This window comes from Homo sapiens, chromosome 12 (genome assembly GCF_000001405.40).
Source record: "Homo sapiens chromosome 12, GRCh38.p14 Primary Assembly".
NCBI classification, from domain to species: domain Eukaryota; kingdom Metazoa; phylum Chordata; class Mammalia; order Primates; family Hominidae; genus Homo; species Homo sapiens.
The window spans coordinates 99,901,548-99,917,885 of record NC_000012.12 but is presented as its reverse complement, the minus strand read 5'-3'; the positions used below and the strand labels follow the sequence as shown (position 1 = coordinate 99,917,885).

Below are 16,338 nucleotides of genomic sequence, written 5' to 3'. Positions count from 1 at the left end.
CCTGCTGTGCAGCCTGGTTCCTCACAGGCCATGGAGAGTTACCTCTCTGCAGGCTGGAGATTGGGGACCTCTGTTTAAGAGGATGGGGCACCAATCCTTTAGACAGTTATTCTAAAGCTGAGCCTTTTGGCCATCAGCTTGATGGAATGCTAGTGGTTCATCAGCTTGATGGAGTGCTAGAATGGCCATAAAAGGTGAGACTGGTGGATCCTATGCTAGTAAATATGACCTGGCAGAGGCAAAAAAGGCAAAAGCATGTTTGAATAACCATCAGGCCCATTGAGGATGAATTGCTGTGCCTTCCAAGGTGGAAAGGAATTTGATGTAATCAACCTGCCACAAATGTCTGATTGGCTTTTTTGAGGGATGGTTCTGTATTGAGGGGCCACTTTGGGCCAGTACTTATTGGTCAGACATTCAGCACTGTCAATAGCTAGATTACCCTTGGTGAGAGGGAGTATATGCTTTTATGCCCATGCATAGCCTCCATCCCTGACATTATGGCTAGTCAGTTTCCATGTCCACTGTGCAACCATTGTGATGGCTGAGGACAAAGATTGGCTGACATTCATTGGATGGGTCATCTTTTCCATCTGGTTGTTCAATGCTGCCTCTACTATAGATGCTTTGTTAGGTATTCACACCTATAGGGTCATCCACATGCCTCCTTCTCAGACCTCCTTGTATCTGATCATGAAGTATTGCTTCTTCCAGGCATCTGATCAATTAGCAGAACCACTAGCCCCTGCCCAACAATTGATATTGTTCTCACCTCAAACCACTTCTTTCTTCATGTAAAGTTATGAAGCTCTGCCTGATGGATTTCCTTTCACCACTGTCCTTTAGAACAGTGCTACTCAAACTGATCATGTGAAGGAACTATATATGGGTTTGTTTTCAGTTCAACATGAGTGATCTTTTTGTAAAATATAAAACTACAGTTATTACAGCAATGTCAAATTGCTCTAATGTTTCCAAATATGTACTCTCACTTTTAATAATTATTTTGTCGACTTACAAAAATAAATTTATGAATTGGCACTAGTCTATGGATTACACTTTGAGTAACATTGCAGTAGTTCATCCTTGCCTTGGGCTATAGTGTGACAGTAGTTTTCCTCTTGCACCAACGTATTTAGCTGACTCATCCATGAGCCGTATGGTTTTTTTGCAGGAAGCATTCTGAGGGTGGCACAAATTGTTATTCCACCTGGCCAAAATATTCTTTCTGATTTATTATTTGGGCCAGGGACAGAGCAGAAGTGATACCAGGGGCTTTCTTTGTCCCTTTCTATTATAATGGCTCTTGTTTCATAGTTCAGAGAACCAGTGTTTGGATTCTAGCTGCTTCTAAGTATATCCATCTCAATTATGTACTCAGGGACCAGGTACGTGACCAGTTGGTGGGTCTGGAGACCCATTGGGCTGATGGTGAGATGGACTTGAGTCAGGGCTCCATTTATTATCTGGCTTCCAAATGCTCTTACTCTAACTGGGAGACCACAAAGCTATTTTGGATACCCTGGTATAAGTGTCAGCTTAGAGCCTATATCCAATAGCCCTGAAAGGTTTGGGTATTCCACTTTCACCAGTGTATATACTGGCATATGGTGCCATATACTCTGTTATATGGCAGCACTTCCCCTTAAAGAATTATTGGAGAAACATTAGCTCTTTCGCTCAAGAGGACTTAGCCTCCCCTTGATGGGCTCTGGGTCTGAGAACTGCCTTAGATCCAGAAAAGGAACATCGATCTTCTGTTTAGTTCTTGGTCTTCTTTGCAAATATAAATAAAAAATTAACCTTATTAACTACTTGTCATAGGTTGAATTGTGTAATGAGTAACCATGAGATCATACTGGGGTAGGTTGTGCCCCTAATCCAATGTGGCTGGTATTCTTATCAAAAAGAAAATATTGACACAGAAATGTACACAAGGAGAATGTCATGTGAAGATGAAGGCAGAGATTGGGGTGATGCTTCTATAAGTTAATGAACGCAACAGAATGCCAGAAAACCACCAGAAGATAGGAGAGAGTCATGGAACAGATTCACCCAGCCCTTAAAAGGAACCAACAATGTCTTGATCTTGGACTTCTGGCCTTCAAAACTGTGAGACGGTAAATTTCTCTTGTTTAAGTCACTTAGTTCGTGACAGCAGCCCTAGCAACAAATACATTACCCATCTCTTTTGCTTCTATAAACAAAATGGCTAATGACTTATCAACCATTGCCACAGACCCCTGCAGGTCAAGCTCTCTGGTTACTGCTCTGACCTTACTACCTTTAATGGCGTGCATTCACCTTGCTTCTGATGGCTAAGTGCCACCTCTGATGCCTGTTATTTTGGAATCCTGTCAGTCACATTGACATCCCATTAGTGTTTTAGGACCTACTTATGATTTCCTTGCTACAAATTAAATTATGAATCACCAGAGATTGCCTCCATATGAAAGCACTCTCCTCTATCTAGCATTCTTTCCCCATGCCTCAGCTCAGCACCCTCAACATCCACGTCCTTATGTGTGCTCTCAGTTCTAATGACACATGTCAGATAGGCTCAGCTGACTTTTTCGGTGAATAGGTGATTTCTTCCCATATTCTTCCCACCAATGTGAAGGTGTGCCCTTCACAGTTGGAGCTTTTTTTTTTTTTTTTTTGAGACAGCTTTTTGTTCTTGTTGCCCATGCTGGAGTGCAATGGTGCGACCTCAGCTCACTGCAACCTCCGCCTCGCGAGTTCAAGTGATTCTCTTGCCTCAGCCTCCCAAGTAGCTAGGATTACAGGCATGCATCACCATGCCCAGATAATTTTGTATTTTTAGTAGAGATGAGGTTTCACCATGTTGGTCAAGTTGGTCTTGAACTCCTGATCTCAGGTGATCCACCCGCCTCAGCCTACCAAAGTGCTGGGATTACAGGTGTGAGCCACTGCGCCTTACAGTTGGAGCTTTTATCAGTAGGACCTGACCCTAGTTACTGGTCTAGAGGCAATGAAAGATGAAGGGCAGATCTGGAGGAAGGCACCCCCGTCAGGTATGTCCTTTGCCAGGTCTCCATGCAATTAGAGGTGGCTTACCTTTATGAAAGGGATGAGGGTGGATTCTGCCGGCCCAGAGGTTTCAGCAGATTTGAGTGTTTAGTGGTCTCATGTACACCCCCCTAAATATCACCCTCCCATGCATCACCACCCTCCCCCTTTCCCTATCAGAGCCCTGATGGGAGACCTGCTGGGGCTGTGCATTTAGTTGTCTTTGTAGCTAAGCTCCTTCATCAAATCTTAGGCCTGATTTCAGTATAGTATGTTAGCTGAGTGCCAGAGATAAGGTTCATTTTAAATACTGACATGGAGTTTTTCTGACTTTTACAGCATGCCCTGAATTGATAGATGGCTTACCCAAGCCTGCCATTCTCATTCTTCAAAGCTTCTCGAGTAGTTAACACATACTCCAAAATCTTTGTTTTGATTACCACATGTCTTTCAAGTATTAGAGCTATTATATAAGCTTGTACTTCCTCCTTCCTGTAACACATTACAGTCCACCTCAGTTAAAAATTTTGGGCATTATACTGCTGTAGCCTGTTAGGGGTTATCACCACTCACTTATCACTAGAAATTGGATCCTTGCTGCCCTCTGACCAGCAAGTAATGCAATTCCAGAATCTCATTCTGAAGGTCTGCTTTCTAGTGCTATTTCTATTACCAACAGTCTTATTAGGGTTTTCCCCAAAAGCAGACCCTGGTGTAAGGACTTAGGCATGGGTAGTGTATGTGCAAGGTGGTTCCAGGAAGAATAAAGAGAAAATGGAGAAAGAACTGTGGGTCCTTTAGGTGGGAAGCTGTCAGCATCAGCATGACTATCCACAGCAGTGGAAGAGAACTCACAGACAAGTCAGGGGGATATGGTGTGGGCATTAACAGGGTCTCCTACAAGGTCTAACAGGGTTTGTTATAAAGGTTACAGTTGTAAAGCAAGAGCAGAGAAACTAATAAATTTGCCTATTGTTTGTATTGGTGGTTAATCATAAATTTTTTTTTACTTGTTTGAGTTTTTTTTTTAACAGTATGAAATCTATCCACCTTTAATTAGTGAGTTCTCCTAATCCATTTGAAATGTGATTTGATTTTTGAAATTTTCCAAACTTTTCCAACTCCCCCAAATATATATATTTTCTTAATTGCGTTACTCCCATAAGCCCTAACTTATGATTGAACTATAAAAATAAGATGATGACTGGCCTTTATTTAGCCTGGATAACCCAAGTTCAGCATTTAGGTCCTGCAGTGCAGTTATTTTGAAGCTAATCTCTTTAATCCATTTACTACACCATTATTTGCAACCTATTTTACTTCTTGTTAGCGTGATGAAAGAAAATTAAATTTTTTTTCTTTATTTCAAAAGAAACTATATTATTTATAGCTTTCTTAGGCCTCAGGAAAATCCTTACATGAGGTGCAAATGGTAATTATCACTCTTTCTCAGAGGAAATGTCTGTTCACTAGTGAAATGCTGATGTAAATTTTCAATACAAAATTTGATGTTTCCTTTTTTAAAAAATTATGCTGTTTCTACTTCTGTTTGCTGTCATCATTATTTTATCATTGGCTAGATCGAGGAAATGAAATTAATTTTTCAAAGGAATCTTTCAAGGCAAAGTTTATAAGGCAGAATATCAATTAGTAATTTCATGGTGGAAGCTTTTTTGTTTTGGAGGGCAAGGCAAGCTAGGGAAGGAATGTGAGAGTAAGTATGGTAGAAGCAAAATGGTTATAGAGAGTTATATGAAAATAAGGGTCACAGAATAAACACTTCAGTTGGATAAAATATGTAGCTCGTGAATAATAGCTGGCAAATTTGTGGAACAATTCATAAAGTAGTCATTTGGTATCACGAAGAGGATGATAAATTGAACTGTGGAAGACAGGAAAGGTTAATCACAAACAAACCATGCCTAACTAATTTAATTTCTTTTCAATACCAGGCAAGCTCAATGAGTAAACAAAACTAATAAGCTCAGTATATATAGAATGTTTAGTACTCTACTTCTATGGACACATTCAGTATAGTGCCATATGACATTTCATGAATAGAGTACAGAGACATTAGGTATAGATATAATAGATTATATATATAAATAATGTATTCAAATAGAAATAATAGTCTGGAAAATTTGAATATACAGATAGCCTTAACACTCAAAGTAAAATTTGTCAGTGTTAAAAAAATTAACTGGGGCCAGGTGCAGTGGCTCACGCCTGTAATCCCAGTACTTTGGGAGGCTGAAACGGGCAGATTGCTTAAGGCCGGGAGTTCCAGACCAGCCTGGCCAACACGGTGAAACCCTGTCTCTACTAAAAATATAAAAATTAGCCAGGCGTGGTGGTGTGTGCCTGTAATCCCAGCTACTTGGGAGGCTGAGGCATGAGAATCACTTGAACCCGGGAGGCAGAGGTTGCAGTGAGTGGAGATTATGCCACTGCACTCCAGCCTGGGCAACAGAGTGAGACTCTGTCTCAAAAAAAAAAAAAAATTGATTGGGAAACCATTAGGTAGTGCTTTGGGTTCCTATGTAAGCAAACTGAAACCAAACTCACTGTAAACAGTAAACACACTGTAAAACAGTGAAATGAAACTTAAGTTTAACAAATCAGAAAGCACCAGTGAATCTCTATCTAGAGTCTTTACCAGACACTGCCAATTACCTCTAAGTAGGGACTCTCCACTTTAATAAATCAAACATTTTCTCTGTCCTGCTTCCACAGACACCTTATAAAAGTTTTCCCTTGCACGCCTTTGGTGGAGCCCAAATCACTTGCAGTCTGGTGCTGCCTAATTCATGAATCACTGAATGCTCAAATAAACTCTTTAAAATTTTAATGTGCCTAGGTTTATCTTTTAATATCAGTGAAAGTGGTACTTAAATCTGTATTATTTATTGCCATTTATATATCTAAATGTATTTTCCAAGTTTGTCATATTAAGATATTATTGTTAATATTTTTAGGTGTCATGATGGTATCATGATTATACTTTTAAGAAGGGAACCCTTATCTTTTACACATGGATACTGAAATATTTACAGAAATGTTATGATGCCATGGATTTTCTTCAAAGTGGGAGGGTATATAGATGGAACAAATTTGACCATGAGTTGACGATTTTTAAAGGTGTATGATGAGTACGTTGGGTTTTTTAATACTATTCTGTCTACTTTTGAATATGTTTAAAAGTTTTTATAGTAAAAAGTTAATAAATCATTATGTGTTATATTGCTAATGGGTGATATCGAACTTTATAAGTAAATGTTAATTATGCTTTCAGTTTCCAGTTATACTTAATATTTTTACAACCTAATAATAGTCGTAAACTCATAGGGCAGAAAATAAAGAAAGCATTTCTTCTGGCAAGTTTATTTTGGACTGAAGACTCAGATTTTTAAGTAAGTTTTTCTTGGACAAATGGACTTTTAAGCTGATAGGACCTTGAAAAATTTCTATTCCAATTTCCATGTTTGTAGATGAGAGGATTGGAATTTGGCTGGCCTGGTTAGTTTGTATCATGACTCAGACTGCGGTCTGGGTTTCAGCTTTTGGTTCTGGGATTTTTCCTACTCTGTTAGATGCCTGTCTGCAAAAGTAATGTAAGATTCTTTTAGCTCACTGAGACTCAATTGCCCTTACAGAGGGATAGCTCAAGTGGCAGCAGAGTGCAGTGACCGGAGTTTAAATCATTGCTCTGCCAACTACTAGCTGTAAAACCGAGAATGATTTATTTCACCACCCTAAATCTCAGTTTTCTCATAAATTGAGAAAAACTGTAGTTCTTGTTGTGAGGATTATAAAAAATAATATGTTAAAATGGTTAGTAACAGACTCTATTATTTGGTGACTTTGTAAGGTTTTAATAAGATTACGTATTTTTAGCACAATAGCTGGCACATAGTATGAACTAAATGAGTACTTGATATTATTATTGCTGTCATTATTGTTATTATTACCATTCTCATACAATCAAGGAAGTAAGAAATTTTGAATTTTAAAATTTCAGTGGATAAACTGCAGGCTGATAATTCAGAACTCTCTGTAAATGAGTATGTATATATATGCATATATTATGGGTGTGTACACATAGACTGTTGCGTTAGATACATGTTTTTAAACAGCTTTATTGAGATATAATTCTCATAATGTTCACCTATTTAAAGTTTTTAATTGGATGGTTTTTAATATATTAACAGAGTTGTGAAACCACTACCACAGTCTAATTTTAGAATATGTTCATCGCTCTAAAAAGAAGCCACTGTACTTATTAGCAGTCACTTCCCATTCCTCCCATCTCCCCAGTGTAGACAATTACTAATCTACTTTCTGTTTCAATAGATTTGCCTATTCTGTACAATTCATATAAGTGGAATCATACAATGTGTGGCCTATATGACTGTCTTCTTTCACTTAGCATGTTTTCAGAATTCACCCATGTTATTGCATGTATCTGTACTTTATTCCTCTTTTTTTTTTTTTTTTTTTTTTTGAGATGGAGTCTTGCCCTGTAGCCCAGGCTGGAATGCAGTGGTGCGATCTCGGCTCACTGCGACCTCCGCCTCCCTGGTTCAAGCAGTTCTCCTGCCTCAGCTTCCCAAGTAGCTGGGATTACAGGCACGGGGCACCATGCCCAGCTAATTTTTGTATTTTTAGTAGAGAAGGGGTTTCCCCATGTTGGCCAGGCTGTTCTTGAACTCCTGACCTCAGCCTCCCAAAGTGCTGGGATTACAGGCGTGAGCCACCACGTCTGGCCCTTTATTCCTTTTTAATGGCAAATAATATTCTATTATATGGATCTTTTTACAGCTTGCAGAATACTTCATAGTTTCCTAGAATGCTGTGTTTGGAATGGAATATGAACAAATTCAGCTCTATTCTAGGTGGACAGAGGAATTCTACACTTTTCTAAGTGATTATAGTTGTAGTTGTAGTCTAAATCATCTTCCAGGAGAAATAGTCACTATATACATGTACCTAACATTACCCAAATGTGATCTAGAATGAGAAGCATAGAGAGAAGAGGGAAGAAAAAGAAAGGGAACTATGACATGGGAAGAAAGGAAAAGAAGAGGCAAAGGTAATATTTTACAGAAATAGAAAATATTTGTATGGAAACATAAAAGACCCCAAATAGGCAAAGCAATCTTGAGAAAGAAAAACAAAGTTTGAGGCATCACACTTCCTGATTTCAAACTATATTACAAAGTTATAATATGGAAAAATAGTATGGTACTGGCATAAAAACAGACACATAGACAGATGGAATAAAATAGAGAGTTCAGAAATAAACCAAAAAGAGATGTGTTGGTGAGACTGTGGAGGAAAGGAAACTTTTGTATGTAAATTAGTGCAGCCACTATGGAAAACTGAGTGGAGGTTCCTCAAAAAATTAAAAATAAGACTACAATATAACTCAGCAATCAGTCCCTCTTGTGGGTATGTATCCAACGGAAATGAAGTCAGCACCTTGTCAAGATATCTGAGCTCCCATGTTTATTGCAGCAGTATCTACCATGGTCCAGAATGGAAACAACCTAGGCATTTGTTGATGGATGAATGGATAGAGAAATGGTGGTACACACACACACACACACACACACACACACACACACACACACACACACACGATGGAATATTGTCCAGCCTTAAAAAAGGAGATCTTGCTATTTGAGAGAACATGGATAAACCTGGAGGACAGTATCCTGAGTGAAAAAGCCAGGCACAGAAAGAAAAACACTGCATGATCTCACTTATGTGCAGAATCTAAAAAAAAAGTTGAATATATAGACACAGAGTAGAATGGTGGTTACTAGGGCCTGGGGTGGGGAGGGAGGGACAGGAATGGGGAGATGTATGTCAAAAGGTACAAAGTTGTAATTATGTAGCATGAATGTCTAGAGATCCAATGTACAGCATGTCTAGAGATCCAATGTACAGAATGATATCACATCGTATACTAGAAATTTGCTAAGAGAGTAGATTATCACCAAAGGGGGAAAAAAGGTATCTGAGATGACAGATATGTTAATTTGTTTGACTGTGATAATGATTTCACTATGTATATGTATAACAAAACATCATGTTGTATACCTTAAGTATTTACGATAAAAAAGGTAATATTTCAGCAGAGACCGAAGTTGTATATTAGGGAAACTAGGAGATTCCTGCAGTGGATGAGAGATTGACATTGGCTTCTTAATAACTTAAAGAATTGGAAAAAATGTATTGAATCACATCTTAATTAATTTTTCTTTCTTTTCTTTTGGAGAGGGTTTCTTTCTGTCGCTCAGGCTGGAGTGCAGTGGCGTGATCATGGTTCACTTCAGCCTTGACTTCCCCGGGCTTGGGTGATTCTCTCACCTCAGACTCTCAAGTAGCTGGGACAATGGGTGCACATCACCACGCCTGGCTAATTTTTATATTTTTTTGTAGAGATGGGTTTTACTATGTTGCCCTGGCTGGTCTCCAACTTTTGAGCTCAAGCGATCTGCCAGCCTCAGCCTCCCAAATTGCTGGGATTACAGGTATGAGCCACCATGCCTGGCCTCTTAATTTGATAATGATTGCTATGCTCTTTTGATCATTAGCAATGATTTTTGTCCTTATATTAGTAGATATTGAATAAACAAAAATAGAACTCTCAGGAATTTAGTAACTGTATATTATGTAATTTTCACTTGCATTGCCTCACAAATATATTCCTTTAAAAAATGATTTGAGGAGTTCATTGGTGCTATTATTCTGATTTCAACTCTTAGGGTTATAATTCTATGTCTATTTGCTATGTTCCCACTTAGGATGCTAGATGATCAGTACTAGCAGGTTCTTCTTAATTTGAGCTTCAAAGGAACCATAGCTTTTAACCACACCACTACATTTGCTCTTAGTCCTTTCTAAAATTCTGTGATTTGTTATCATGTTGCTTTACTTGTTCCTCTTTTGGGTTAGTTTTAAGGTGAACATCCTATTAACAAGGTTTGTATCAGAACAGTCAGGTTTTTACAGTTTTTTTTTTTTTTTTTTTTTTTTTTAAGAATTTCTCTGGAGAGGAGAAAACAAATTATTTCCAGGCAGCATTAAAAGCAAAAAGGAATGCTTTACCTGCCACCTTGTTAAAATTACAGTCTGATTTTAAAAGAAGAGTATGAAAACAAAACAGAGAAACAGCAAAGAACACCATTTTAACTGCTATCACTTTTCATTCACCTTTTGCTGGGAAGTAGCACAGTGTCCATCCCTGCTGACGGTTATGAAGATATATCAAGTTCTATTTACAGAGAAAATATAACCCTTTTCCATGAAGCAGCAGGAACAGCAAATGACAAAATATAGAGAACTGGAATGATTCAATATTGCTCCCCTTATTAACTGTTGAAAACTCCACCATAGGGTTGCTATCACTGGTCTGATCATGCATTTAGATGTTTTTCAAGTCATGCTTTTGACATTAGCAGTCAGTGAGAACATGCCTGGCATATTTAGAGAACAGTAAGTACTTCTGATTGCTACAGCACAGGCGGCATGGGGCTGTGGAAGAGGGGCGCACGCTGGGGAGTGGGGAGCAGCAGACAGCCTCAGGAAAATTTTATGCCTGGGGGAAATTAAACACAGAACTGATGGTGCTTAAAAAACTATCAGTGACTTCCCCTGACAGTGCTGGTTATTTAGTGTAGCATGGAAGGCCCACCATGAGTCCCAACCTTACAAGCCTTTTGTTAGAGCCATCATGAGTATTTTCTGTTCCCTAAACTTGCCTTGCATTTTCTTGCTTTAATGCCTGTTCTTGTCCTGTGTCCTTGCCTGGATACTTGACTGTATCCTTCAGTTTGTGTGTAAGCTCTGCCTTCAGGCAATGTTAGTTCTCTACTCTGTGCTCCATGGGACCTTATGTGTATCTTTGTTATAATATGGCACATTCTCTTGTGGTTATTTGTTTACACATCTTTTTTTCTTTTCTAGACTTTACTTTTCTGAAGGGCAGAGGCTATGTTTTATTTATTGTTATATTCCCATACTCCCGGCACTACAATAAATATTTGTTGAATGGAAGGCAGAGATAGAATAAAGAAGCATATGAAGGAGAAAATACAAAAATATAATTTTTAAAAGCAGTTGTGCCAAATTATTTCACTGAGTTTTACTTTGAATCCAGTACTGTTTAATGATAGGATGAAATATAATTATACGGATATTATTAATCAACCATGAGACTAGAGAGTGGTGAAAATGTGTGTCAACTTGTCCCAGAGGCAGCTTAAAGGAGAAGAAGATGAGATGAATATGGCCCACTTCCTTGAATCCATTGGCCTAAACAAATCAGTCAATCAACCAAATTCCGTTCAGCGGAGAATGAGTTATATTAGGTGTGAAGTAAATGATCATCATTTGTGATTCTAACCAGCCCTCCTCTGAAAAATATCATAAGCATAGACTTCTCATTGTGCATTACGTCTTTGGGAAGACTTTGTTTGGACAAAGTCACAAAGAGAGTAATATGGTATTAGAGTGAATTTTGGGTAACAGAGACTTAATGATGAAGAGAATGTAGCGATACAGATCACTACATTATTCACGTGAGGTCTTTTCCTCTTCATTGCCAGTCCTGCTTCTTGCCTCATTGCTGGCTGTCTAGGTTGACATGTCTTTTAGGGTCAATACCAGACTTTGTTCCAGGCTGCAAACATACAGATGCCTGGTCTACTCCTAAGAATTTCTGAGTGTGGCCAGAACACCCATAATTTGTAACATACCCCATAATCGATTCTGTTGAACAGTAGTGTTTGAAACCGCTGGTTTAGATCTTTCATGTTTAACATATCCCTGAAACCAAATAACTCTATATGACCTCTTCAAGATTCAGCTATTCTTGGATTCATCTAACCTCTGTTAGAGTGGTTACCTAGACGGTACTTGTTATGGGCTGAATTATGTCTTCTTAAATTCATATGTTGCTCTCCTAACCCCATCTACCTTATAATGTGACTGTATTTGGAGACAGGGTCTTTAAAGAGGTAATTAAGTTAAAATGGGGTTATTAGGGTGGGCTCTAATCCAATATGACTGGTATCTCTATAAGAAGAGGAGATTAGGACATTGACAAACACAGAGGGAAAACCCTGTGAAGACTCAGGAAGAAAGCAGCTATCTGCATGCCAGATTGAGAGGCCTCAGCAAGAACTAACCACTCGAATGCTTTGATCTCAGACTTCTGGCCTTTAGAATTGTGAGAAAACAAATTTCTGTTGTTTAAGCCTCCCAGCCTGTAATACTTGGTTATGGCCCCAGCAACTGATACAACTTTGTTGAGTACCTTCTGTGTGCAAAACACATTACAGCACTTTATTGAACCTCCTAGAATGTGTGTGTGGAAGAGAAGAAGGAGGTGAGGAACCAAGAGCCATTTATGAATGCTTTGGTATGTCTTTCCCTGTGCCCACAGACCTAGAATTCCTTTTCTCTAATTCTCACTCAGGAGGAATCAGTTGGCATTCTTAATGCTTGATTTTTAATTGACCAAACTTCCACTCCCTTCCATGGTCTCTGGATGTGAGTGAAGTCAATTAAATCAAAATTATCTAACTACAGGTGGACATTTGGGTACAACATGGCACTTAATATGGCCACAGGGCACTTTCTTTTTAATGTAACTGTAGTCAGAGTAATCCAACAATTAACTCCCTTTACCCTCAATTCAGACTAGCAGAGAGCTAATTAAAATTAGAACAGAAAGAAGGAGAGATAGGCCATTACCTAAACTTAGTACTCTTATTATCTCCCACTACTTCTCTGGACTATTTTAGATATCATATTGGAAATAGCATCATATTAAAAGTCCACTTTAAGTTTTTCTTTTAGTTCAACAAATATTTATTGAATATTTGAAGTATATCCATTAAGGGGTTAGGAATTAAGTATACAAAGGTGAATATAGTATGCGCTTCAGTAAATACAACAGAGGAAATACTTGTAACAATAGAAAAGGTAAATAAGGGGCAGAAGTTGCTATTTAGATTTAGTAAGTGATCCAACTCGGTAGTTTTGAATCTGGGTGATTATCAAAATTACTAGGACAACATTTAAAAAAATGGAGTCCCAGATTCCACCTCAGATCAACTCAATCAGAGTTATCACTTGTAGTACCTTTGATTCTTGTTTGCAGATGCTCCATTATGGTTTCTTGTGCTAATCAAGGCTGGAATACAGAGGTCTAATGAGTCTTAACTGTAGTGCATATGTGAAGTGGGAGTTGGCACTCAAGTAGGGAAATAGGTGATAGTCCTTATGCTAATAAGAATTGGTGAATCAATTTTCAGAATATAATGTACTGTGTGTGATTTCTAAAAAAATGATTAGGCTGGGCACAGTGGCTCATGTCTGTAATCCCAGCAGTGTGGGAGGCTGAGGCAGGCGGATCACCTGAGGTCAGGCATTTGAGACCAGCATGGCCAACATGGTGAAACCCCTCTTCTACTAAAAATACAAAAATTACTGAGGCATGGTGGCACATGCCTGTAATCCCAGCTACTTGGGAGGCTGAGGCAGGAGATTATCTTGAATCCAGGAGGTGGAGGTTGCAGTGAGCTGAGATCATGCCATTGCACTCCAGCCTGGGTGACAGAGCAAGAATCCATCTAAAAAAAAAAAAAAAGAATTATTAGGGTTTCAGATGTAAATGGAATAAGTGAAATAATGTTTTTAGGTAAATTAAGGACTCTCGGGATAAGAGACACAAATCCAACTTAAATTAATGAAATCCTACAAGGGCATGCATTGGCTTATGGCCTGCAAAGGGCCTGGGTAGAGCCCAGGTAGTGTTGGTAGTGCTATCCAACACAGTAGCCACTAGTCATATATCGCTCTTGATCACTTGAAATATGGCTAGTCTGAGTTCAAATTTACCATACACACTGGGTTTTGAACACTTGGCAACTTTTTATTTTTTTTTATTTTTAATTTTTCTATAAGTTATTGTGGTACAGGTGGTATTAGGTTATATGAGTAAGCTCTTTAGTGTGATCTGTGAGGTTTTGGTGCACCCATCGCCCGAGCAGTATACACTGCACCACATTCATAGTCTTTTATCCCTCTCCCCCCCTCCCATTTTTCCTCCGGAGTCCCCAAAGTCCATTGTATCATTCTTATTTGGCAACTTTGTATATTGAGTGCATATTACCATGATACTATTTTGGATACATTGGTTTAAATACAATGTATTATTAAAATTAACTTTACCTGTCTATTTTTAGTGTTTCATATGTGGCTTGTATTATGCTTCTATTGGACAGCACTACCCTAGAATTACTAGAAATAAGCACTCTCTGCCTCTAGTACTCTGTCTCTCATCTGTGCTTCTCTCTGGGTATCAGCCTTATTCCCTCCAATTACAGAGGGCATTTCTCCTAGAAGTAGGAACTTTACCATCAGCATCCCTGGACTCTTACAGGGTCCCTACTGAAGAGGAAGGGGAACTTCCCTTTCAGCTTCTAGTTTGAAAATCATAGGGAAGAACTTAAGTTGGTGTGGCTTGAGTGATGGACCAATCACCACAGCTAAGAGAGTGTGATTCTTGTTGGTTTCATCTAGACCAGTTAGTTGTCCAATGCCCTAGCTGGGTCATGGGATAAGATAAAGTCATCAGTCATTACCAAAACCACATGGGTAGACCAAGGAAGGAACTTTCCTCTTTTTCTCAAAACATGAATAATAGCTAACATTTATTGAATGTTTACTCTGCATTAGGCATTGTGCTTTTTACATAGATTATTTCATTTAATATGTATCACAGGGCTGGGCATGGTGGCTCATGTCCCAGCATTTTGGGAGGCCGAGGAGGGTGGATCACTTGAGGTCAAGAGTTTGAGACCAGCCTGGCTAACATGGCGAACCCTGTCTCTAAAAACAACAACAGCAACAACAACAACAACAATTAGCCGGGCGTGGTGGTGCATGCCTGTAGTCCCAGCTGCTTGGGAGGCTGAGACAGGAGAATTGCTTTAACCCAGGAGGTGGAGGTTGCAATGAGCCGAGATGGTGCCGCTGCATTCCAGCCTGGATGACAGAGTGAGACTCTGTCTCAAAAAAAAAAAAAAAAGTGTATAACAGCTATTTTGAGGATCTGATAGGCATCTCAAATGTAATAATTCTTGAACCCTGACTTTTGCCTAATCTTTGTAGTCTCAATCAATAGATCACCATATACACAGCTGCTCAACCCAAGTAACCTAGAAATCATCCCTGATTCCTTCCTTCTTTCCCTCTTCCATCCATCCTCTTAACTATATTGAATAGATGACTCTTCTTTTCCATATCCATCCTTTCCATAGTAGCTGGAATAACATTTTAAAAACACAAAGCTTTAAATAAAGCACTTCAATGGATTTCCGTTGCTCGCTCCTAGAATGAAATCTCAATTTCTTCCCATACCTGCAAGGCTCAGCACAGTCTGGCTTCTGTTTAGCTTTCTGATGTCGTCTTGTGTTATTTTACCCCCTTCTCACTTGCCATGCTTCAGTTATCTAGATGTCCTTTTGTGCCAAGCTCTTTTCTTCCTCTGGCTTTCCCTCTTCCTGGAATGATCTTCCAGTTCTCTTTGAGTGGTTGGCTTATTCTTTCTTTTTATATTTCAGCTAAAATGTCACCTCCTCAGAGAGGCTTTATACTGAAAGCCTCTTTATCCTGAAATTCTGCACATTCTATGTAAGTGGATCTAGAATCACTCTTTTACTATCTTCTCCCATTATTTATTTCTTTTATGGCGCTTATAATCTGCACCTCTCTTGTTGGTTTATTGTTGTTTACTGCCATATCTGAGCTCCATGAGGATATTGACCTTTTCTATCTTATTCACTATTCTTATCTCAGCACTTGCACAAGCATGGATCATAATAAGTGTTCAATAAATATTTGTTGAATATGTGAATGAATCTTTGTTTTACAGATGAGGAAATGGAGGCTTAGAGCAGTTAAATAAATGGATCAAGTCACATGGGTAGGAAGTGGTGGGAACAGGTTTCAAACCCAGGCAGCTTGATCACATAGCCATTAGTTGCCATTCCATAAGAAGGGAATGTTGTGTTAGGCAGACAAAACAATAAATGTCACTGTAATATGAAGCATAATGTAGTAGAAAGCACTGATGTTGGCATCAGCAGTCTTATGTTCATTTTTGGCTTTGTTGAGTGGAGTAAGGAGACCTCATCCAGTCTACATGGACTGAGAATGGGGGAGGGGTGTTATCTAAATGAGGTTTTGGAGTTGTACCAGAAGACCCAGAATAATCCTGGAGAGGGTTGGGGG

General features: G+C 38.9%; 1 protein-coding gene across 17 annotated transcripts in view; it reads left to right on the top strand.

Annotated features, from left to right (window-relative positions):
* The window catches only part of ANKS1B (ankyrin repeat and sterile alpha motif domain containing 1B), a 1,250,151-nt gene that overhangs the window by 67,051 nt on the left and 1,166,762 nt on the right, over positions 1-16,338 (top strand). The gene's annotated exons all lie outside the window — the stretch shown is intronic.